General features: G+C 42.5%; 1 protein-coding gene across 2 annotated transcripts in view, besides 2 other annotated features; it reads right to left on the bottom strand.

The window, feature by feature from the left end:
• The window catches only part of CHCHD6 (coiled-coil-helix-coiled-coil-helix domain containing 6), a 256,181-nt gene that overhangs the window by 114,811 nt on the left and 117,326 nt on the right, over window positions 1-24,044 (bottom strand). The window lies entirely within an intron of this gene.
• Window positions 13,613-14,469: an enhancer, noted in NCBI's record as "H3K27ac hESC enhancer chr3:126549984-126550840 (GRCh37/hg19 assembly coordinates)". NCBI's record gives its function as "activates a minimal SCP1, AML or CMV promoter by ChIP-STARR-seq in primed H9 embryonic stem cells {active_cell/tissue: H9 hESC(primed)}" and the evidence as "EXISTENCE:reporter gene assay evidence [ECO:0000049][PMID:30033119]".
• Window positions 14,470-15,327: an enhancer, noted in NCBI's record as "H3K27ac hESC enhancer chr3:126549126-126549983 (GRCh37/hg19 assembly coordinates)". NCBI's record gives its function as "activates a minimal SCP1, AML or CMV promoter by ChIP-STARR-seq in primed H9 embryonic stem cells {active_cell/tissue: H9 hESC(primed)}" and the evidence as "EXISTENCE:reporter gene assay evidence [ECO:0000049][PMID:30033119]".

Genomic DNA, 24,044 nt, shown 5'->3' with positions numbered 1-24,044 from the left:
AGAACAATATTAAATATCCAAAGCATATATTTAATTGGAGTCCCAGTAGAAGAGAAAAGTGGGGCAAAAGAAATAAAATATATGGCCAAGAATTCTCTGGAGTTGATTGACGACAACTAAGTCTGAGACAACAAATCTGAGAAGCTCAGAAAAATTCCAAGCAGGAAGCTTTTATAAAATTCTTAAATAATTCCTTAAGTAATGGGATATTTTTGAACGTAGATTATGTTTTTGAAAAATAATTTCTAGAGCAACCCTAAAAAAGTAATCTAAAAAGCACAAATAGTCAATAGAGGAGATCACAGAATTCTAAATATATTGACTCATCCCCACTCTCCCCCACCAAAAACAAACCTGCAAGAAAGAAGCAAAGAGGAACAAAGAACAGATGAAACAAACAGAAATCAAACATCAAGATGGCTGACTTAAATAGTCACATCAGAAATTACATCAAATATAAACCAACTTAGCCCTTGTATTAGTTCCTGTTGCTATGGTATGAAATTACCAGAAACTTAGTGGCTTAAAGCAATATAAACGTCTTCTCTTACCATTCTAAAGGTCAGAAGTCTCAAACAGGTCTTATTTGACTACAATCATGCTAGTGGCAGGGCTGTACCTATCAGGGGGGTTCTAGAGAAGAATCTATTTCCTTACCTTTTCCAGTTCTAGCTAGCGGCTACCCCCATTCCTTGGCTCATGGCCTCACATCACACTGACTTCTGCTACCCTTATCATATCTTCTTTTCTGTCTCTCCTGCCTTCCCCCTTCCCTCATAAGGACCTTGACATTACACTGAACCCACCTGGATAACAAAGGATAACCTCCCCATCACATATCCTTAACTTAATCACACCTGCAAAGTTCCTTTTGCCATGTGAGAGAAAACATGCACAGGCTCCAGGTACTAGAAGGTAGAAATCTTTGGGGGGCCATTATTCTTCCTATCACACTCCCCAATGAGAAGGCAAAGTCCTAACTTCGTGTTATTAATAAGAAATAGCTTTTAAATACGAAGACACAAAAATTTGGGGAAAAAAGGAAAAAGATATATTGTGCAAATGCTAAGTATAAAAAAGCTGGTGTAGCTATATTAATATTAGTTAAAGAAGAATTCAAGGCAAAAAATAAGACCAGATATAAAGAGGGGCAGTTCATAATCATAAACGGGACAATTATTCAAGAATAACAATTCTAAATGTATAGGTACTTATAATAAAACTCCTAAATACATAAAGCAAATCTGAGACTAAAGAGGAATATAAATAAATCCACAATCACAGTCAAATACTTTGATCTGCTCTCAAAATATTGATAGAACAAGTAGACAAAAAAATCAACAAGGATATGGAAGATTTGAACAGTATTATCATCCAACGTGACCCAAATGACATGTATACAACACTACATCTAACAACAGCAGGAAACACATGCTTCTCAAATACACATGGAACAGTCACTGAAATGGACCACATCTTGAGCTAATAAGTTTAAAAGGATGAAATCACACAAAGTATGTTCTATGATCACAAAAGGATTAAATTAGAAATTGTAAGACACCCAGAAAATCCTCAAATGTTTAGAAAATAAGCATATTACTAAATAACCCACAAGTCCTAACCAAAAGAAAAAGTAGTTCCTAAAAATAGACTTGGAAATGACAGATAATGCAATTAGCAAATGAGGACTTTAAAACTGCTACTGTAAGCATGTTGAAGGATTTAAAGAAAATGTAAACATAATGATATAAATGGAAGCTACTGAAAAGTACCAAATGGAATTTCAAGAGCTAAAATGAAAGGCTGAAAAAGTGAATACTACCTCAGGAACCTGTGGGACAATTTCAATATCAAGTGGTCTAGCATACATGTAATTGAACTCTTGGGAGGAGACAGTGGTAGTGGAAAAATATTTGAATATTTCAAGAATAGATGAAAAATTCCCAGATGTGTTCAGAAGTATAAACCATAATCCAATAAGCTAAGCTAACCAACTCAACAATATACACAATGTGATGAATGCAGTAATGGAAATATAAAAATTATATATCTGATCATTTAAAAATACATAATTTTCCTTGATTTACAAAACAAAACATAAGCCTTACCCCAAAGAATTTCCCAGTCCAGATGGCTTCACCAATTTTATCAAATATTTAAGGAAGAAATCATACAACTTCTAAGAAAATTCTTTCAGCAAATAGAGGAGGAAACAGTTCCCAACTCATTTTATGAGGCTGCTATAATGATACCAAACCAGTATTCCTCGAGAAAAGAGATGTAAAAATCCTTAATAGAAAAACTGGCAAATCAGTTCCATCAATGTGCAAAAAAGATAATACCCATAACCAACTAGGGTTTACGCCAGCAGGATGCTAGCATAACAACGTACTTCACCACATTAAAAAAGAATAAGAAGACAATCATACGATCATTTTCAATAGATGTAAGAAAAGCATTTGACAAAATATGACATCCATTCATAGAGAAAACTTTTAGAAAACTAGTAATAGAAGAAAGTTTCCTCAACTTGATGAAGGACACGTACCAAAAAAATCTATATATAATATCATGCTTATTGGTGTAATATTGAAGGCTCTTTCCCTAAGACAGCAGAGAAAAAGGTTAAAAAGATTTAGAGTATCTGATTAATAAAATTAACAAGGTTGGTTTAACAGACATATTTCTAGAATCACTACTCCCAAAATTAAATATCTACATTCTTTTACAGAGGAATGGAACATTTTAAAAACATCCCACTCTTGCAGGTCACACCCACCAAAAAAAAAAAAAAAAAAAGAATTTCAGTGCAATGAAAAGGACAGTTAAAATGAGTTGTGGTGAAATGTCTTCTTAAATAATTTGTGGGCTAAGATAAAATAATGATAGAAATTTCAAAATTACAAGAATAAAAGTTCTACGTTTAAAAAAATGTGTGATACAGCTGATGTGGTATCTGTGAGGTAAATGTACTTAAATGCAAAATTGAGATTTAAGCAAATTATTCATTTCATATATGAATAAAATAGGATTCAGATTAAGTGACTTGCTGCATTATCACACAAGAGCAGGACTACGAAGACAGATTCCTGACTCCCAGGTCAGCAACCTCACATTTGGGGACCACGTCATTCCATCCTGAGCTGTGTGCTTTGACAATGTAAAAATCATTGGTGGATCACCAAACTGAACTAATCTAAGAACATGTATTATAACCATGCTTCTCAAATGTTTAAAGTGCATTTGAATCACCCAGTATTTTGATAAAAGGCAGATCCTAGCTTCTAGATTAGTCTAGACTCATCAAAATTGGGCCCAAGATTCTTTGGATCTGGGATGGGCCCAGGGTTAAACAGTTCTTTTTTTTAAAAAAAAGACAGAGTCTCACTCTGTACTCCAAGAAATGTCCCGTGACGTGACCTTGATCTCCTGGGCTTAAGTGATACTTCCACCTCAGCCTCCGGAGTAGCTGGTACTACAGGCGCATGCTGCCATGCCTGGCTAATTTTTTACTTTTATTTTTGGTAGAGACGGGATCGCATTTTGTTGCCCGGGCTGGTCTTGAACTCCTGGGCTCAAGCCATCCTCCCACCTAGGCCTCCCAAAGTGTTGGGATTACAAGTGTGAGCCATTACGCCTGGACTAGATTAAACATTTCCAACATTCCCAAGCAATGGTTTTGTTTTGTTTTGTTTTGAGGCAAGGTCTTGCTCCTTCACCCAGGCTGAAGTTTAGTGGCATGATCACAGCTCACTGCAGCCTCAACTTCCTGGGCTCAAGCAATCTTCCCACCTCAGCCTCCTAGTAGCTGGGATCACAGGCACATGCCACAATGCCCAGTTAATTAAAAAAAAAAATTTTTTTTTTTGGAAAGACGGGGTCTCCCTATGTTGCTGGGCTGATCTCAAACTCCTGGGGTTAAGCGATCCTCCCACCTTGGCCTCCCAAAGTGCTGGGATTACAGGCGTGAGCAACCACGCCCAGCCTAGGTAATGTTACTTTGAGTACTAAGGCACTAGATCATGCTTATGGAAAGATAAATGATGGTTATAGTGAGATCGTCAAAACTCTGCAAGATCCATGATGGGTCTAAATTATGTTCCTCACAACCCTTACTTTAGATTAATGATAATGCACTCTAATTTTAAAAAATAATAAAGAGTAAGGGCTTCAGGGAACAGGCTTTAGACTCAGAAAAAGTTAGATTTGAATACTAGATCTGTCACTTCCTACTTGAGTGACCGTGGTCAAGTCAGAACTTCTCTTGCGGCATTATTCACAATAGCAAAGACTTGGAACCAACCCAAATGTCCAACAATGAGACTGGATTAAGAAAATGTGGCACATATACACCATGGAATACTATGCAGCCATAAAAAATGATGAGTTCATGTCCTTTGTAGGGACATGGATGAAATTGGAAATCATCATTCTCAGTGAGCTATTGCAAGAACAAAAAACCAAACACCGCATATTCTCACTCATAGGTGGGAATTGAACAATGAGATCACATGGACACAGGAAGGGGAATATCACACTCTGGGGACTGTTGTGGGGTGAGGGGAGTGGGGAGGGATAGCATCGGGAGATATACCTAATGCTAGATGACAAATTAGTGGGTGCAGCGCACCAACATGGCACATGTATACATATGTAACTAACCTGCACAATGTGCACATGTACCCTAAAACTTAAAGTATAATAAAAAAAATAAATTAAAAATAAATAAATAAATAAATAAAAAGAACTTCTCTATGCCAGAGTTTCCTAACCCATACAACGGAGAAATTAATATAATCTCTATTTCAAGAGGTTGCAGTGAAGTTAAATAAGATCATACACATAAAGTACTAAACAAATATCTGGTACACTATAATTTTCTTCAAAATAAATGGCAGCCAAGAATTATTTTCATAATAAAAGTGTTATTAAATATTTAATCAGAAAAGAAAATATACCTATCCATGACCATATTAGATAACAGATTTTTAATATAAAAAGGCATATCTCAAGGACAAATATAACTTTGAGATGATATGGGCTAATCTCCACACTTGGAACTGATCCTGAGGTGCCCTGGGATGTTATATGTCAGTATCAGTGTTTTATCTTCCTTCATTACACCTGTCTTCCCTCCCTCTTAATATGTTCATCTATAGTATTAATAACTGTCAGAGTTCTTTCTAAAATGTGTTTTTAGATTTTTTATTGAAATATAATTCACATATCATAAAACCCTTTTAAAATCTATAATGCAGTGGGTTTTAGTACATTCACAAAGTTGTGCAATCATCACAACTATCTCATTTTAGAACATTTTCGTCACCCCTAAAAGAAACTCTGTGTCCAACAGCAGGCAGCTCCCACCTTCCCCTACACTTAGCCCCTAAATGTCCATCAACTAACAGATGAATTTTAAAACGTGGTATATCTATATAATGGAATATCATTCAGCCAGAAAAAACAATGAAGTACTAATACATGCTACAACATAAATTAACCTTGAAAACGTTACGCTAAGTGAAAGAAGCCAGACACGAAAGGCCACATAGTATATGATTCCATTAATATGAAATGTCCAGATTAGGCAAACACATAGAGATAGAAAACAGATGAGTGCTTGCCAAGACCTGGGGGCCGAGGCAGGGGTGATGGGAAGTGACTATTAATGGGAGCAGGGTTTCCATCCAGGTGATGAAAATGTCCTAAACTTAAATTGTGGCAATGGCTGCACAACTCAATGAACACACTAAAAACCATGGAAATGTGTGCTTTAAATGGGTGATTTCATTGTTTATGAATATCTCAATAAAGATGTTAAAAATACATAAGATTACCAAAGAAACGAATTATATTGAAATACAGTTATCAAAATATTAAGAAAAAAAAGCCTGAGGTGGGGAGACCAGTGAGAGAGCCGATGCAGTAATCCAGGTTGGGGAGTATGACAAGGACTGAACTGAGGCTGGGTTGTGGGGTGAGGGGGTTCAACAGGAGAAGACTGACTGATTAGATGCAGCAGGGAAGGGAGGGAGGAAAGCACAATGATCCCTCCAGGTTCCGGCCGAAAATGAGAACTATGTCTACCTATGTTGTAATGATAAATGAAATTAGTGCACCTTATACTTGTATGTCATCTACACACAGCTACATACATTCCCACAGCTAATACAGTATTTAGCATGTGGATATATGGTAATATAAATTTCCAAATTATTGCCAGATGCCAACTTGGCATAGGTATGTTCTTGTGTTTATACAGAGAGATGTCCAAAGAACAAATTTTATGTTCATTTTTCTGTTTACCTGCTTGTACTCTTCCTAAACCATAAATTCCTGGAGGCTGGAGGCTAGGGGCTAAATTGTGTTACCGCTTTATTCCAAGTGACACAGAGTAAATATTCCCTACAAGAATAAAATGGCCAGGCACAGTGGCTCACGTCTATAATCCCAGCATTTTCAGAGGCCAAGGCAGGAGGATCACTTGAGCTCAGGAGTTCAAGACCAGCTCAGGCAATGTAGTGAGACCTTATCTCTACTATTAAAAATAAAAATTAGCTGGGCATAGTGGTGCATGCCTGTAGCCCCAGCTACTCAGGTGGCTGAGGCAGGAGGATCACTTGAGCCCAGGAGATGGAAGCCACAGTGAGCTATGATAATGTCACTGCATGCCGGGCTGAGCAACAGAGCAAGACTGTCTCAAAAAAAAAAAAAAAAGGAAAAAAGAAGGAATAAAATGAATGATGCTGAGAAGTTGATTTTGGGAAAAGGAGATGCTAATCATTAAGACAGTACAGTACACTGTGATGTTTAAGAGGCTTGGGTTCAAATTCTGGCTCTAACAATTATTTGCAATTTCTCTGTGCCTCAGTTTCCTCATAGGGCTGCCATAAGGGTTTGCTGTGATTCTGCCCTGCTGTAGGTGTTCTCAATGCTTGGGCTTGTCTACTATGAGTCTGAAGAAGAAACTATCACCAAGAATCCGTCCCTCCCTTCCTTCCATAAGCCAGCTTGGACAGGTGCACACCATTCCATGAGGTTGGCACAATTCAGAGGGAGATGCAGCTGATTAAGGGACTGCAGAAATGCAGACCTTCCTTCATTGACATCAAATGGGTCCTGCTGAGGCCCAAGCCTGGAAGAGTGAGGAGGGGCAGAGCTGAACAGGCATTGTTGACCCTAGGACCAAGTCCCAGCTCCTTCAAAGGCACAGAAAAATCAGGAGAGGCTGCTTCTCTAGGGTCATCTTCCTCACTTTCCAAAACCACCTACCTGTGCCAGGAGGGAGAGGCAACTCAGAAACATGCCAAGAAGAGGGATGCTCAAAGCCATGTCTTTGTTCCTCATTACACGATACAAATTTTCCAAGAGTCACTGATGCCTCACAAGGAAACTTTGAAAAAACATTCTATTACAAGACCATCTGCTGAAATACTGTAGGCTCTCTGCAGCCCCCATTTCCTTTTATTACCAGGGAAAGCCTCATGAAAATTAGTCTCATTCTGAAGGCTTGTGTCTGCTCATGCTGCTTTCTTCCAAATCTCCACCTGCAGGCTGCAGTGCTGACACTGCTCCCCCGCCCCATCTGCACTGTGGACATGGTGCCCATGGCTGGGAGAATGAGGGAACGGAGGCTTCAGGTGTGAGGGATCACAGGACAGATGGCCTCTCAGGCAACCAGAGCCTGCTCTCCTCCGTGTTGCCCAAGTAAGAAAAGAACAAGACAGCAGGGAAGGAGACGGTGGAAATGCTCAGGGATGGTTAACTCTGTGTATGTCTGACACATTTTATCCAATAAGTACCACATTCTCTGCAGCCTTCCTTCCTCTTAGCAACACCTAGATATTGGTCAGGGCAAAAGCATAATCTTGGTCATGACAAAACAAGAATCAGTGACACCTCATGAAACAACCAGGCATGAATCTATAAAAGCAACAGTGACCATTTATTACCAGTCAGTAAATAATTCCTTAAGTGTTCCATTAACTTATACAATAACCTAGTGAAATAGATATTATTAAACACTATGTATATATGTATGTATGAATGAATGAGACAGGGTCTTGCTCTGCCACCCAGGCTAAAGTACAATAGCATGACCTGGGCTCACCCCAGCCTCGACCTCCTGGGCACAAGCCATCCTCCCACTTCAGCCTCCCGAGTAGCTTGGACTACAAACACACCATGCTTGGCTAATTTTTTAAATTTTGGTGAGATGGGGTCTCACTATGTTGCCTAGGCTGGTGTTGAACTCCTGGGCTCAAGCAATCCTCCTGCCTTGTCATCTTAAAGTGCTAGAATTACAGGGTGAGCCACCACACCCAGGCTAAACCCACTTTAAAGGCAAGAAAAATGAGGCACAGAGTAATGAAGTCACCCAGAGCCACATAATCAATACATGGCAGAGGTAAAGTTTTAAAGTAATGGGCTTCATCTCCTGGTGTAATAAGATCTTACCTGGTATAATTTTCCAAGCAAGGCTATCTTAAGACATCATGATATCATCTCTGCAATGTCTAATAAAGTTCTAGGGCACAAGGATGATAAGGTCGGAAATGAAATGTAGAGCCACTCTGGCGCACAATTCCCTTTAGTGGAGGGCTGGGAGGAACCCCAGATTTGCACAGAGTAACAATTAACCACAAGGGAGCTTGGACCGGTGAAAGCCCAAAGCGATGTCCATTTCTCCTCAGGAAGAGCAGGCCAGTCCCCCGCACTTGCTCCTGGCGTCCAACAGTCCTTACCTGTCGACATCCTCAGCGCACTGTCTTCCTGGGCATGTGCCATGAATTTTGTTCCTCCAGAGCAGAGCCAGCCTGGCTCAGGCAGAACAGCTGAGCCCTGGTCTACACAGGCATACCTAGCTCAGCCAGCACCTCCGTATCCCTGCAGACGCCCTCTCTCCTCTCAGCATCTCCGCACAATCTCTGCTACAGCGCTTTGCCTCTCCCGGTCAGTGTCCCCACTGCTGTTTCACTCTTGTGTGCACTGTCTTCAGTACCAAAATTGTACTGAATGCTTGTGGAACCAGGACAGTTCTAAAAGCCTGGGATCCTGCGATGAATGAGACACACAGGAAGGGATGGACAGATGAACATAAATTAATGAGTGAATGTGGTGTCAGATGGTGATGAAGGGCTGTGAAGAACAGAGTGGCGGTCCAGAGAGGCAGGGGTGAGGACTCATTCATAGGGAATGACCAGAGAAGGTCCCTCTCAGGAGGTGACATTTGAGCTGAGAGCTGCATGACAGGATAGAAGGCCACGAAGATCTTAGGGAAGTTCATTCCCTGCTGAAAAAACCAATGCAAAGGCCTCTGAGTGGGAACAAACATGACATATTCGAGAGACATAACAAACACCATAACAAATACCTGGGAATGGAGTAGGGGAGTGGTGAGACGCAGCATGAAAAACAGGCTGGGGCCTAACGGCGCAGGGCCTTGCAGCCCTGGTGAGGTGGTGCACTGCCTTCTATGAGCACAGGGGCCACTGGAGAGCTCTGAGCAAGATAGCGATATGATCTATTTATTTATTTTTTAAATGCAGCTCATAAAAGCTGAACTGGAAGGCTGCTGCCCAAGAGGACAGACTGATTATCTCCCTTCCCACACCGTGCACTCACATGTACAGGCACACAAAATATTAACTGTGGTTGTGACAGCTGTAGCTACGGAAAGGTGGCAAGGAGAAACCTTTACAGAAGAAATAATATGCGATTTTCTAGCTGAACACCTTTTAAAAAGTAATGCTGGAGAACAGAATCCCTGCCTGTGAGGGAGGCAAGGGCTGTCTTTAGGTACAGGGTAACAGCATGCTGCTTGAAATAAGCAAGAGTCGGGTAAAGCAGAGCTTACTCATGCTTCTAAATCTGCAGGCTGAAAAGAGAGAGATGGGGAGGGAGAAAAGGAGCCAGTGATTCAGCTCTGCTGCCTGCTGCTTCTCACTGCAGCTCCAAACAGTAAGAGTTCAGAGAAGTTGCTCAAACATGACCAGCAACAGACCTATAGTTCCTTGCAGAGAACAGGAGTGATGAACTGCCCAGTCTCCAGGTGGGAAATTCATGAACTGAGCAGAGCCGGCCAGGTGTGTGTGGTCTTCCATGCCCAGAGAATCCCCACTCCTCCCAGCCCCACTCTGATGGCACTTCAGACCTCAGGGATTGTAAGCCCATGAGTCAGAAAGGTTCTCTGGAGAGCCGTGAGGTTAAGGGAGTCAGAGAAGTGGCCCCTACCTGACCAGAGAACAAGCTGCCTGGCCACTGTCACACCCTCAGCCCGTAACGACGTCAGGCAGGCAGGCAGGTGCCCCACACCTACTGGAGGGATCGGGGCTGTGTGGGGAGCACTGTCCTGCCTCTGCTGTTGGCACCTACACCTGGGCTAAGAGGACAACACTGGAGAATAGGGAACTGTTGGCCTGCAGCTAGGGTGGGGCTCACTGGGCCATCTCCATCAGTTAAGCTCTCAGGGGCCCCTCAGGGGCCCCAGAGGCTGGTCAGAAATCTGTTCCAACTGTTTGTGGATCCATCTAGGATCTCCCACCCGGGCTACTTCTCTGGAGAATGGATATTAGAAACTGGAAAAACACTTTTCCTTGACCTAGTCTCAACCAGCTACAAATACTGCCCATGGCACAGCGGAGCTCTTATTCCTCCAGACACACCAGGGCTTCCAGGGCCTGTGCTTCTGGCTCCTACTGTTCTTTGCCAGAAATGTCTCTTTTTCTATACCCTGCCTGCCCAAGTGCTCTGCTGTTGCCGACTGTCAAGGACCCAGCCAACGCTTCCTTCAGCACCCTATTAAATCCCGTGTTGGAGTCTTGGGGAGGTTCTGTCCAATTTCCAAGTAGGAAGCTGTCCTATATCTAAGTGGAGATCAGATATGTATGCTCCTTCTGTCGTGAAGTAGCCAGGGATAGGCACCCCACTTGGACTCGGATAGTCATCATCACACAAAACTGAACCCTGAATAAATGACACAGAAAGGAGGGACTGATAGAGATTGGCTTGACGGAGACCACAGCAACAGCAGTAGTAGCAAGAGTACAATGATGCAACTGGTAGGGCTTCATGACCTAGGAGCTCCCCTGCTTCTGGCCCATTCCCCAGGCCTGGCCCTCCAGCTCCACACCCACAGGCGACCCCCAACAACTTTCCAATTAATTCCCTCTGCTTATGATAGCCAGAGCTGGTTTCTATGGCTATAATCAAAATCCCTGAATGACTTATTTTGTCTTCTCTCTCCATCCAAACAGAACTGTATCATCTATCTGTACTCCCATAGCACTTAAATATATCCTATAATTATTCTAATTATTCTTATATTAATTGGTCTATAGCTATTGATCCCCCTGCAGATACAGGGGCTTCATGAAAGCAGCAGCCCTGAGTCACTTCTGTGTCCCCACACCTGGCATGAAACTTGGTAGGCACATGATGCATAAATATATGTTGAACTGAATTTACACTTTCAAGATACATTGATTATTTCACACATATGATGAATAATTAAGTAACGTTATTGGTAATTCTTTTTTTTTTTTTTTTTTTTTTTTTGAGACGGAGTCTCGCTCTGTCGCCCAGTCTGGAGTGCAGTGGCGGGATCTCGGCTCACTGCAAGCTCCGCCTCCCGGGTTCACGCCATTCTCCTGCCTCAGCCTCCCAAGTAGCTAGGACTACAGGCGCCCGCCACTACGCCCGGCTATTTTTTGTAGTTTTAGTAGAGACGGGGTTTCACCGTTTTAGCCGGGATGGTCTCGATCTCCTGACCTCGTGATCCGCCCGCCTCGGCCTCCCAAAGTGCTGGGATTACAGGCGTGAGCCACCGCGCCCGGCCACGTTATTGGTAATTCTAACAAAAGCAAAACACAGGCCAGCAAATACAGTGCTGTAATTTTCAACAATCTTCTCGAGAGGTTGTATATTTATTCTCCAAGGACTCATCATTATTATACCACTAAGTATTGAGTGGATGCTAGACAAGGGCCCTGAACTCAAGATGGCATAGCTATCAGACAGCAAGGCTGGACTTTCGTAGGTCTACATAGTTGCGAAGCCCACATTCTTCCCACTCGCCACACTGCTTCCCAGTAGGTCTCCATCAAAGACATATCGCGTGCAAAGCACTGTGTGAATGATTCTAACAAAGCTGCTCTTGTTCAAAATATTGTTTAGAAACTGTTTTCAAATTTAACACATTTATGCAGATCTTTAGAAGTGGCAAATCTTCTGTCTTTCAGGGAGGTATTGAGTTTCTGGAAAGAGCTGAGTGTCTGTACCCGTGCCAAGGAAGGAGGCAAGGTGTCCTGAAGGGGTTGGAGCCAGTCACAGTATATGAAATGTACCCCCAACTTCGGAAGGAAACTGTCTCCCTAATATGGCTCCTTAACTAACAAGTCCTTAGAGTACAGGGCTTTTACTCTGCTTTGAGCGCTGAGAGACATATGTATGAGCATGTGCACATGTGCATGTACATGTGTGTGTGCATGTGCATGCAAGTGGCATGTGGGCACATGCATGCACACATGCAACAGACTACTTCCTACTGCCTATGAATACTGTGTCACTATGTGCCTCATTCCTTCCCGTAACTTTCTTAGCCACTTGGGGAGCATCTAGCACAATACGAGGGCTGTATCTGCCAAGTGCATAACCCAAAGTGATGACTGTGAAGGCAAGGGGCTAATGTGAGGTCCTCCCCACCCTTTCCATATCTGTAGACCTTGGCTGGGGGAGAAATTCCCCTCTTGTGGTCCCTTCTCCTTCTGAAAAGGGGTGTGGTGGCCCTAACTCAGCTGGCTCTAATAATTTCTGGTCCCACACCAGCCCTCCCCCTTTCTCTGGGTCAGACCACCAGGAGGCATTACTTGAGTCCTGTTTCCAAAGATGCTACAAAGTGGAAAGAGGAAGTAAAGCACAATGACACATGAAGATGGCAGCAATTCTAAGAACCAAAAGACTCTCCAGTCTTCCTGTATCTTCCTCTTGGCAAAGGCAAGAAAGAATACCATTCTTCCTTTGTAAAACAGGCCCTGAGGACTTCACGGCTCAGAATCTGAGAGGTTTAAGCAGGAAACAAGCAGCACAAGTTTGCAGGAAGGATCTTGCCAGCTTTCATCATCTATTCCACAAATATTCAAAAGCAGCTACTGGATAACTGGCACTGAGTGGGATGTTATGGAGATGGTAGAGACGGCGCCCACCAAGCCTGCAGATGAAGGTGCTCTGCCATTGCTGAACCATGGACACCACCCCTGGATAAGGCTAACTTAGAATAAGAAAAGGCAGTAAGGTTCTGGAGAGAGGAAGAGACAGGAGATATTCATTCAACAGCCTACAATAAGTCCTAGATAAGCCATCATATACATTAACTATTCCATTAGATACTTACAGCCAGAGAGACCTCGTTTTGAATCCCAATTCTGAACCTTGCTAAGTGTGTGGCCCTGGCAGAGCCGCCTTGCCTCTCTGAGCCTCAGTTTCTCTATCTATACTGGGGAAAGGACTAACAGCATCAAGTGTGAAAAGCTCCTGGCACCTCATAAGAGCTGAATAATTGTTAAGTCCTTTTTTTTCCTCTTCTTTAATCAACACCTGTTGGCCAAATATTTTTAGACATATTTGAAAAGCATTTATCCCATCTTTTTATCCCTTGCTCCAGGGAAGATCCCAAGACAGTGACAGCTACCACACCCACTGAGTTAGCCCCTCGCACTCCTCACTCAGCACACAGATTACATGCTCACTGCTCACCTGAGACCAACGATCTTCTCATCTGGACATTAAACCAAACACACTCTTCTTCTTGATGGCAGGAGTTGGGGGTAAAGGATGGCTTGAGTTTTCCCTTCTTCAGTATTGGCAGAGTCTCCCCTTTCGCACGGAAATTTAGAACAATTCTGAAGCACACATATTGAGTATGAGCCTGTTTCCCAGCCTGGGGGACACAGGGCCCATCTTCTGAGTCCAACCGTAAACACGCACATTTTCCACCGCACCAGATATCAGCCTGGGGCTGATCGCCTACAGCCCCAGGAGAGACCTCTGTTAATTTAAGCGTGTTCTGCTGAGCCCTGCTGTGTACAAGGTGTTGTGGGCACTGAGATAGATGAAACAAGGTCTCCACTCATCACTTACATCGAGGAGAGAGACATAAAACTAATTGCAATACAGCACTTAAAATATCACAGAGGTGGCAGAAGAGGCAAGCTTGCCCAACACTGCCTTAGAAGGATTGAGTGAGGCCTGGAGAGGAGGCAGCACGCTAGTTAAAGGCTGGCAGGGCTGGCCGGGTACGGTGGCTTATGCCTGTAATCTCAGCACTTTGGGAGGCCGAGGTGGGCGGATCAAGAGGTCAGGAGATCGAGACCATCCTGGCTAACACAGTGAAACCCTGTCTCTACTAAAAATACAAAAAAAATTAGCCAGGCATGGTGGCGGGCACCTGTAGTCCCAGCTACACGGGAGGCTGAGGCAGGAGAATGGCGTGAACCCGGGAGGTGGAGCTTGCAGTGAGCTGAGATTGCGCCACCACACTCCAGCCTGAGCAAAAGAGTGAGACTATGTCTCAAAAAAAAAAAAAGAAGACTGGCAGGGCCGCCCAGGAGAGAAGCGGGCAAAGCACACAGGGTGCGGCCCCCGAGCAGGCCCTGGTACACTTAGGTGCTGTCCTGTGAGCAGCTGCGCTGCTGCTTTGCTGGAGCCGAGAGTGAGTGAGGAGTGACAGGGAATGAGGCCAGAAAAGGCAGGTGAGCCAACACCCACAGGACCCCAAACATCCGGTCAGGGATCTGGATGCTGTCCTCTGAGTAACAGAGGGACACTCAGAGTTTCACCAAAGGACATGAATATCCAGCACTGCCTCTTCCTAAGGCCAGTCTCTGTCCATGTTAAAAGTAGACTGCAAGAGATGAGGATAAGAAAACCGTGCGGACAACACATGGTTTAGACAAGACACAATGAGACCGGAAACCCAAGTAGCAGCCGTAAAGAGGCTCCTTTATGAAGAGGAATTAAAGTATGAGGAAGAAGGTTTCTACCCCAAAGAAAGGTGAACAGAACACTGGTAGAGCAGGGGGCGAGGAAGACAGCAAGTTCTGTTGTGATCGTGCTGCCCACAGGGCACCTGAGGTCTCCAGCAAGAGGCACCCAGGAGGAAGATGGACTGTGGGTCTCCCCAGGCATGCAGGGTGCATGGCAGCTGAAGCCACAGGGTGAAAGCCTGGCTAAAAATGCCTGCAACCCTTCACTAAGTGCACCCTAAGAGGCTCTAAAGAGGCATAAGATCCAGAGGCCTCCTTTTAGTCTTCACAATCCAGGTGGGGCCCAGTGGCATATAATGACACGAGGTGGCCAACACTAGCATGAACAGTGAAGTGTCCACTTTCCACATGGCAGAAGAACTCCTCCCACACCAGCCCTCCTCTTAGCTCAGGCTGCTACCACAAACACCACACACTGGAGGCTTAAACAACAAACATGATTTATTTATTTATTTAATTTATTTATTTTTTGAGACAGAGTCTCACTCTGTGGCCCAAGCTGGAGTGCAGTGGTGCGATCTCGGCTCACTGCAACCTCTGCCTCCTGAGTTCAAGCAATTCTCCTGTTTCAGCCTCCCAAGTAGCTGGGACTACATGTGCGTGCCACAACACCCAGCTAATTTTTCTATTTTTGGTAGGGGCAGGGTTTCACCATGTTGGCCAGGCTGGTCTTGAACTCCTGACCTCAGGTGATCCACCTGCCTTGGCCTCCCAAAGTGCTGGGATTATAGGTGTGAGCCACCGCACCCAGCCAACAAACATTTATTTCATCACAATTCTGGAGGTGTGAAAGTCCAAGATCAATGTGCCAGCAGATTTGATGTCTGGTAAGGGCTCTCTTCCTACTTGCAGACAGCCACCTTCTTGCTCTGTCGTCACATGATAGAGAGAAAGAGAGCAAGAGAACTCTTGTTTTTTCTAATTCCTATAAAGATACTAATCCTACCATGGAGGCCCCACCCTCATGACTTCCCAAAGCCCCACCTCCATGTACATCACACTGAGGATTAGGGCTTCAACATACGAATTTTGTCAGGACACAAACATTCAGTCCATAACATCTCCTGCAGAAATAAGTGATAGATTCTAGACAAAATATAAAAAACAACCCTCTAAAGGCCCTGGAAAATGACCAAAGGCAAGCAGAAGTTGGAGGAGAGCTGATATGTGGGAGCAGGAAATAGTACCAGGTGAGTTTCCTGTTTTTATGGGTCTTACCTAAGAGCTGGCTTCATTTGGTGCCACATTGGGAGGCTAGAGATCAAACAGAAAACCAGAAATCTGAGTCTGAGGATGGTGCAGCATCTGGAGAGTGAGGGGGAACTCCCCAGAAAGGAGAGTTCCACAACCTGCATAGAAACTCTGCCCTAATCTCTGGCTGATCACTGAACTACATACATATAGGGCAAAATTTGTGGTATGCAATAAAAACGGTCATTAGAGGGAATTTGGCAGCTTTAAACCTCTATATTAGAAAAGAAGGTGCCAAATCTATGATTTATAGTTTCACTTTAAGAAGGTTTAGGAAATAACCCCAGCTAATTAAACCCGAAGTAAGCAGAAGAAAAGAAGTAATAAACATAGGAGTGGAAATCAATGAAATCAAAAGCAAACAATAGGAAAAAAATAAAGTCAAAAATTGGTTCTTTGAAAAGATCAACAAAATTTATAAATTCCTAGCCAGAATGAGCAAAACAAAAAGGGGAACGCAATGATCAACAGCTGGAATGAAAGGGGGGACATTACCGAGTGGTACAAATAGTGCAGCCTCCTGGGAGCAGAGCTGCTAAGATGACTTTGAGGAGGGCCTCTCCTGAAAGGCAGGTAGACCCTGGACTGAAGGGGTACTGGAATAAACACTTAAAATGTTCTAATGCCAACATACATTCCCCCTCCAAAACAGGATGTTCCTCCTTCACCAAAGATCACATGGACTCCCTTGAGGGCAATCATAAGCAGAGGCCCCAGAGATAAACCACTGGTGTCCTGTCCCATCCGACAGGACGGGCCTGCAACACAGAAGCCCTGCTTCCCAGATTTCAGAGTGGCCTCTGTCCAGGCCTGATTTGCCAGCTGCGTCAGTTCCGGGAGCCTCCCGTGTTCCCTCACACACTCCCTTTTACTTAAGTTAGCCAGAGCTGATTTCTGTTGTTTCCAACCAAAGAACTCCAACTGATACTGGAGGCCTGGGCATCCCCAGTCAGGACAAAAAACAGGGACATGGAGTACAGCACTGAAGCCAGTGGGAAGAGAATCAGCCAAGGTTGAGTTGTTGGGACCTGTGGAGCATCCAAGAGAAGATGTGAAGTGCACCACTGGTTTCGTAGGGTAGAGCTTTGGCAGAGTCCTTAGCTTACAGAAGATAACTGAAACCACGAGGTAAGATGAAATTTCCAGGGAAAACACACAGTCTTCAAAGAGAGAGGCTGAGGATGTAAGCTTGGGGAGCCCAATCGTCATGGTGGGAAGGAGAGGAGGATGCACCGAAGAGACAGAGAGGGACAAGGCCAAGGAGTTGCAGAAGGGGACCAGGAAAGGCTTCCCAGAAGAAACGAGACCTGAGACTTGAAGAATAAATAGGAGTTAATAGGTGAAGGATGTTCAGAGGGGCACAGGGAGGAGAGAGCCAAATAGGAGGAAGCTACAGTGTGCCATGAGAAGGGAGCAAGAATTTGACATTTCTGAACATGTGCTCTGGGCCAGACCCTGAAGAGAACAAACTCTCTGGCTTATTTTCTGCAGCCTCCCTCCACTCCACCCCTGCCCCACCTTGCTGGGATGAAAGCTTGTTCTCCTTTACTTTCCAGGCTCAATTAACAGCACAACCATTCATCTATATCTTTTTCTTGCTCAAAAATCCCATTCTCCTCTAACTTTGTAACAACAATAGTGATTGGCACATGGTGAAAGATCCCAGATGACAGTGGCATCTCAGAAGACTTCACAGGTTCTCCATGTCAGAGCCCAAGAAAGGTTAAAGAAGGTGAAGCCCTAACCCCACATCCCCAAGCCACACCAGGTTGTTTCTGGAACTGTGTTCCTGGAAGGCACCCTAGGGCTGCTGCAGCACAAGGCTGATTGGGCAGTCAGATGGGCCCTCCATCCTTCCCTCCACCAAGGCAACCTCATGTGGACTTTTCCTGCTACACACTCCTGAATCATTCTTTCTATTTCCCATCATTCATTCTGGCTCAGGCCACATCAACTGTCTCCCAGATGACGCATGGCAGCCTGGAACTGCTTTCATCCTCCAACCTCTCTGTGCTCTGGAACACTCCTCATACTGCAGCAAGAATAATATTCCCAGGACACACATCTGATTGTGTCATTTCCTTGCATGAAGCCTTCAATAGTTGCACAATGCCCAGAGAATAAGGTCCAAGCCTTCTTAAAATGGCTTTTGAGAGCCTAAAGAATCTGGTTCTTGCTCACCTCTCCAGTGTCATTCTTCCCCCTTGCCTCCAACTTCTTTGGCATCCTTTGACATGCCAAATTCTTGCTCTCACCTCCTGGCACACCATAGCTTCCTCCTACTTGGTTCTCTCCTCCCTGTGGCCCCCCACAAACATCCTTCACCTGTTAATTCCTATTTACTCTCCAAGTCTCAGGTCTCATTTCCTCTGGCAGCCTTCCCTGGTCCCTCAGGCCCACACATCCTTTCTGTGGACCAGAGAACTCTCAGTTTCCACTACCACCGTAGTCACTGGCTGGATCTTGTCCTAATTCTGCAAAAATTGGCCACACTGTGGATGTTGAAGCTCGGGGTCATGCCAAAAAGGAGGCCTTAGTAGTAGATTCCTAGTGTCAACACAGTGTGGTGACAAACATCTGTTTAGGAGTCAAAGGACATGGTCTCTAGTCTCCACTTTTATTATTAGATATATATATATAAGATCCTACATAAGTGACAATCTCTCTAGGCCTCAGTTTCCCCATCTAACTCAGGGAAATAATGATGCCTCCTTCTGCCGCCATTACAAGGACACAATTATATAACACACACAGAGAGCCTAACATAATGGTAGGCAAATACAAGGCAATGACTATTAGTGTCTCCTCACACACAAAACAGGAAAGGGAACTTACCAATAGCTAGCCTTCAGAATATGAAAATACCCCTTCTCTCTACTTACTGAATACTTGCTACTGCCAAATATGAAGATAAAAGCTTCCTCCTGGGTCCTTGCTGTCCAAATACTCACAATCCACACATGACTGTATTTATAAGACTGCATAGGTAAAAGGCATCATCATAAAAACTTTTCACCAAGGAACTCACCACTTATAAACTGGTCTCCAATAATATATTTCCACCCATCACATCAGCCTTTCTAAGCCCTGGACAATGGAATTATGTCCATGCAAGAGAAAATAAAACCAAGACTTGTTTGAGAAGCCAAATCCTCTTCTGGAATATCTTAGTATTGGTGTTACCTTGAATCATTCAAATAAAGGCTTTACCCGGCTACTTCATTTGATGAAGGGGGAAGTTTCTGTGGAGATTACTTCTTGAGTATTTTTATTAGCAGGTCTACCAAAATCTAGAATTATGAAAGGAGACATCCTGTGGGATGATAGAACACTACAAAAAATTTGGAAAGAGTCCTTCAGAGAGAAGAAAATGATGACAACTGGAAGCACAGAATTGCTAGAAAGAAATAAACAGCAGTGGAAAGAGTAAACGTGTTTGTTGCATCGTTCTGGAAATGGTAACCCACAGGTTGTTAGACCAAATTGAAAAGAAGAGAAAGACAAGTTATATGCTATCTGCAAGAGATACACCTTTAACTATAAAGAGCGTGAGAAGGTGAAAAAAGGATGGAAAATGATACACCATGCAAACACTAAAAGAAAGTTAAAGTAGTAAAGTTAACATTAAAGTAGACTTTAAGGGAAGAAGTATCACTAGAGATAAAGAAAGATATTTTACAAAGACAAAAGAATCATTTTGGCACAAATATATAGAGTCCCAGATTTATATACATCTAATAATTATTTGCATATTTATTATTTAAAGTAAAAGTTGACAGAACGGATGGACAAACCCACAAACATAAATGAAGACTGGATACTCTGTGACTGATAGCAGACCAAAAAAAGTAAGAAAAAGAGAAAATCTGAATGACACAATCAAGTCAACCGAATTGACATATACAGAACACTACAACCAACAACTGTAAAAACAAAATCACGTTACTTTCAAGCGCAATGGAACATTTTCCAGAACAGAGCATATACAAGGCCTTATGATAAAATACATCCCAACACATTTCTCTGAAATCATACAATGTATATTATTTAAGTACCATGAAATTAAACTAGAAATAAATAACAGAAAGATAGCTATGTAACTATAAAAGTCCCCACACTAGAAGCAGTATACACATAATAATATATACCTCAAATTCAAAAAAAAATCAAAATAGATTAGAAAATATTTTGAGGTAAATGATGAAAATGTGATATACCAAATTGTGGAAAAAAGCAAAAGCTGTGCCTAAAGGAAAAATTATAGCCTTAAAAGACTATACTAGAGAAGAATGGTTTAAAATCAATCTAAGTTCCCACCTTGAGAAGTTAGAAAAAGAACAGCAAAATAATGCCAAAGAGAATAGAAGACAATAAATAGTAAAGGATACAAATCAATGACATAGAAAATAAGTGTACAATTAAGAAAATCAAGAAAGTCAGGCCGGGCACAGTGGCTCACACCTGTAATCCCAGCACTTTGGGAGGCTGAGGTGGGCGGATCACCTGAGATTGGGAGTTCGAGACCAGCCTGGCCAACATGGTGAAATCCCGTCTCTGCTAAAAATACAAAAATTACCCAAGTGTGGTGGCGTAATCCCAGCTACTCAGGAGGCTGAGGCAGGAGAATCAATTGAACCTGTAAGGCAGAGGTTATGGTGAGCCGAGATCGTGCCATTTCATTCCAGCCTGAGCAACAAGAGTGAAGGTCCGTCTCAAAAATAAAACCAACATTTGACTTTTTTTTTTTTTTTTTTTTTGAGACAGAGTCTTGCTCTATCACCTAGGCTGGAGTGCAGTGGCTTGATCTCGGCTCACTGCCACCTCTGCCTCCCGGGTTCAAGCGATTCTCCTGCTTCAGTCTCCCGAGTAGCTGAGATTACAGGCACGCACCACCACACCCAGCTAATTTTGTAGTTTTAGCAGAGACGGGGCTTCTCCATGTTGGTCAGGCTGGTCTCGAACTCCCGACTTCAGGTGATCCGCACACCTCAGCCTCCCAAAGTACTGGGATTACAGGCCTGAGCCACTGTGCCCGGCCAAATGTTGGTTCTTAAAGATTTAAGAACCAGCATTTGATAAAACTCTCAGCAATAGAAATTGGGAACAGAAATTCGATAGAGTATCTAAAAAAACCTACCAGCTAACAACATAATTAATGATGAAATATTGAACATTTCCCTCTTATGTCCACAATTAAGAGAAAAATATGCACTATAATTATTTTTTATTTTTATTTTTTAGAAACAAAATCTCACTCTGTCACTCAGGCTAGAATGCAGTGGTGTGGCGATTATAGCTCACTGTAGCCTCAAATTCCAGGACTCATGTGAACCTCCTGCTTCAGCACCCTGAGTAGCTGGGACTATAGGCACGTGCCACCACACCCAGATAATGTGGGTGTGTGTGTGTGTGTTTTTGTTTTTGTTTTTGTTTTTGTAGAGATAGGGTGTTGCTATGTTGCCCAACTGGTCTCAAACTCCTGGGCTCAAGCAATCCTCCTGCCTCGGCCTCTGAAAGTGCTGGGATTATAGGCGTGAGCCACCATGCCTGGCCATACTATAATAACTTCTATTCAAAACTGTACTGGAGTTCCAGCCAGTGGAACAAGGTAAGAAATGGAATTCTTAAAATTCCAACCTTTAGAATGGAAGAAAAAAAGTAAAATTGATAGGACTTTTAGATGACATGACTATATATGTAGAAAAACTTAAGAACTACACAATACATGAACTAGTAAGTCAATTTATCAAAGTCAATACATAAAAATCAATTATATTCCTATATACTAACAAGAAATAAAAAATTAAAAGCAATAGTATTTTCATTAGCATCCAAAAATAAAACCCTTAGGAATAAATATAACAAAAAATATCTAAGATCACTACAGAGAAATATATGAAACATTGTTGAAGAGACCTGCACAAATGGATATACATATAATGAACTGAAAGACTCAAGATTGCTAAGTTGTCAATTCTCTACAAATTGATCTATAAATTGATCTATAGATGTTAATCTGACAAGTTTGATTCTGAAATTGATACAGAAATACAAAGGACCTAGAAAAGACAAGATAATTTTGATTTAAACAAAACAAAATTGGCTAGGTGTGATGGCTCACGCCTGTAATCCTAGCAGTTTGTGAGGCCGAGGTGGGAGGATTACTTGAGCCCAGGAGTCTGAGACCAGCCTGGGCAACACAGGGAGATACCGCCTCTACCAACAAACAAAACAAAACAAAACAACTGGCAGGGTGTGGTGATGTGTGCCTGTAGTCCCAGCTACCCAAGAGGCTGATGTGGGAGGACTGCCTAAGCCTGGGAGGCTGAGGCTGCAGTGAGCCACAGTCATGCCACCGCACTCCAGCCTGGGTGACAGAGTGGGACCTTGCCTCAAAAAAAAAAGGGATGAATATACAAGATATACAAGATAATTACAACTACCATAAAGCTACAATAATTAATAAAGAGTGTTACTAACACAGATCATTTGAACTAGACACAGTCTAGAAACAATCCACACATACAGAGTCAAGTGATTAATGACAAAGGCCCTCCTGCAATTCGGTGAGGAATGATTGTTTTAATAAAAATTGATATTCCTACCTAATACTTATATAAAATTTAATTCACAGTGATCAGAGACCTAAATGAGAAAGATTTAACTGATCTACAGATTCAATACATTTCCTATCAAAATCTCAGCTGCCTTTTTGTTTTTCAGAAATAGAAAAATCCATCCTAAAATCCATAGAAAATTTCAAGGAATCCCAAATAATCTAAATTGTCAGGGAAAATAAACAGAAGTAGAGGACTCACATCTCTTGATTTCAAGCCTTACTATAAAGTCCAGTAATCAAGACAGTGTGGTACTGGCATAAGGACATAGAGATACATGGACTGGAATTCTGAGTCCAAAAATAAATATAATCAACCCTTATATTTACATTCAATTGATTTTCAACAAAGGTGCCAATTCCACACAATGAGAGGAAAAAAATAGTCTTTTCAACAGATGATGCTAATAAACTGAATTTCTATATGCAAATGAAATAAACTAGACCCCAACCTCACACCATATACAAAAACTAACTCAAAATGGATTAAAGACCCAAATGTAACAGCTAGAATTATAAAGCTTTATAAAACACAGGAATCCCTCTTCATGACCTTAAACTGGGCAATGGATTTTTATAGATACGTGTTTTACAAAAACACAAGTAACCAAAGAAAAAATAGGTAAGTTGAATTTCATCGAAATTAAAAACCTTTGTGCTTCAAAACACACCATGAAGAAAGCAAAAAGTTACCCCATAGAATGAGTGAAAATATTTATGTATCTAATAAGGAACTTGTATCCAGGACATATAAAAAATTCTCCAACTCAGAAATAAAAAGACATATAAACTAATATGGGCAAAGGAATTGAATAGACATTTCTTCAAAGAAGATATATAAATGGTCAATAAGCACATGAAAAGATGTTCAGTATCACTAACCTTAGAGAAATGCAAATCAAAACCACAATGAGATACCACTTCACACTCACTACAATAGTTATAATCAAACAGACAGACAAGAACAAGCATGAGGTGGGATTAGTTATAATCAAACAGACAGACAAGAACAAGCATGAGGTGGGATGTGGGAAACTGGAACCGTCATATACTCCTTTGGAAAACAGTCTAGCAGTTCTTCAAAAATTTAAACTTAAGAGTTATCATAGGCCAGGTGTGCTGGCTCATGCCTGTAA

Source organism: Homo sapiens, chromosome 3 (genome assembly GCF_000001405.40).
Source record: "Homo sapiens chromosome 3, GRCh38.p14 Primary Assembly".
Lineage (NCBI taxonomy): Eukaryota > Metazoa > Chordata > Mammalia > Primates > Hominidae > Homo > Homo sapiens.
This window is presented reverse-complemented; position numbering and strand designations above follow the sequence as displayed.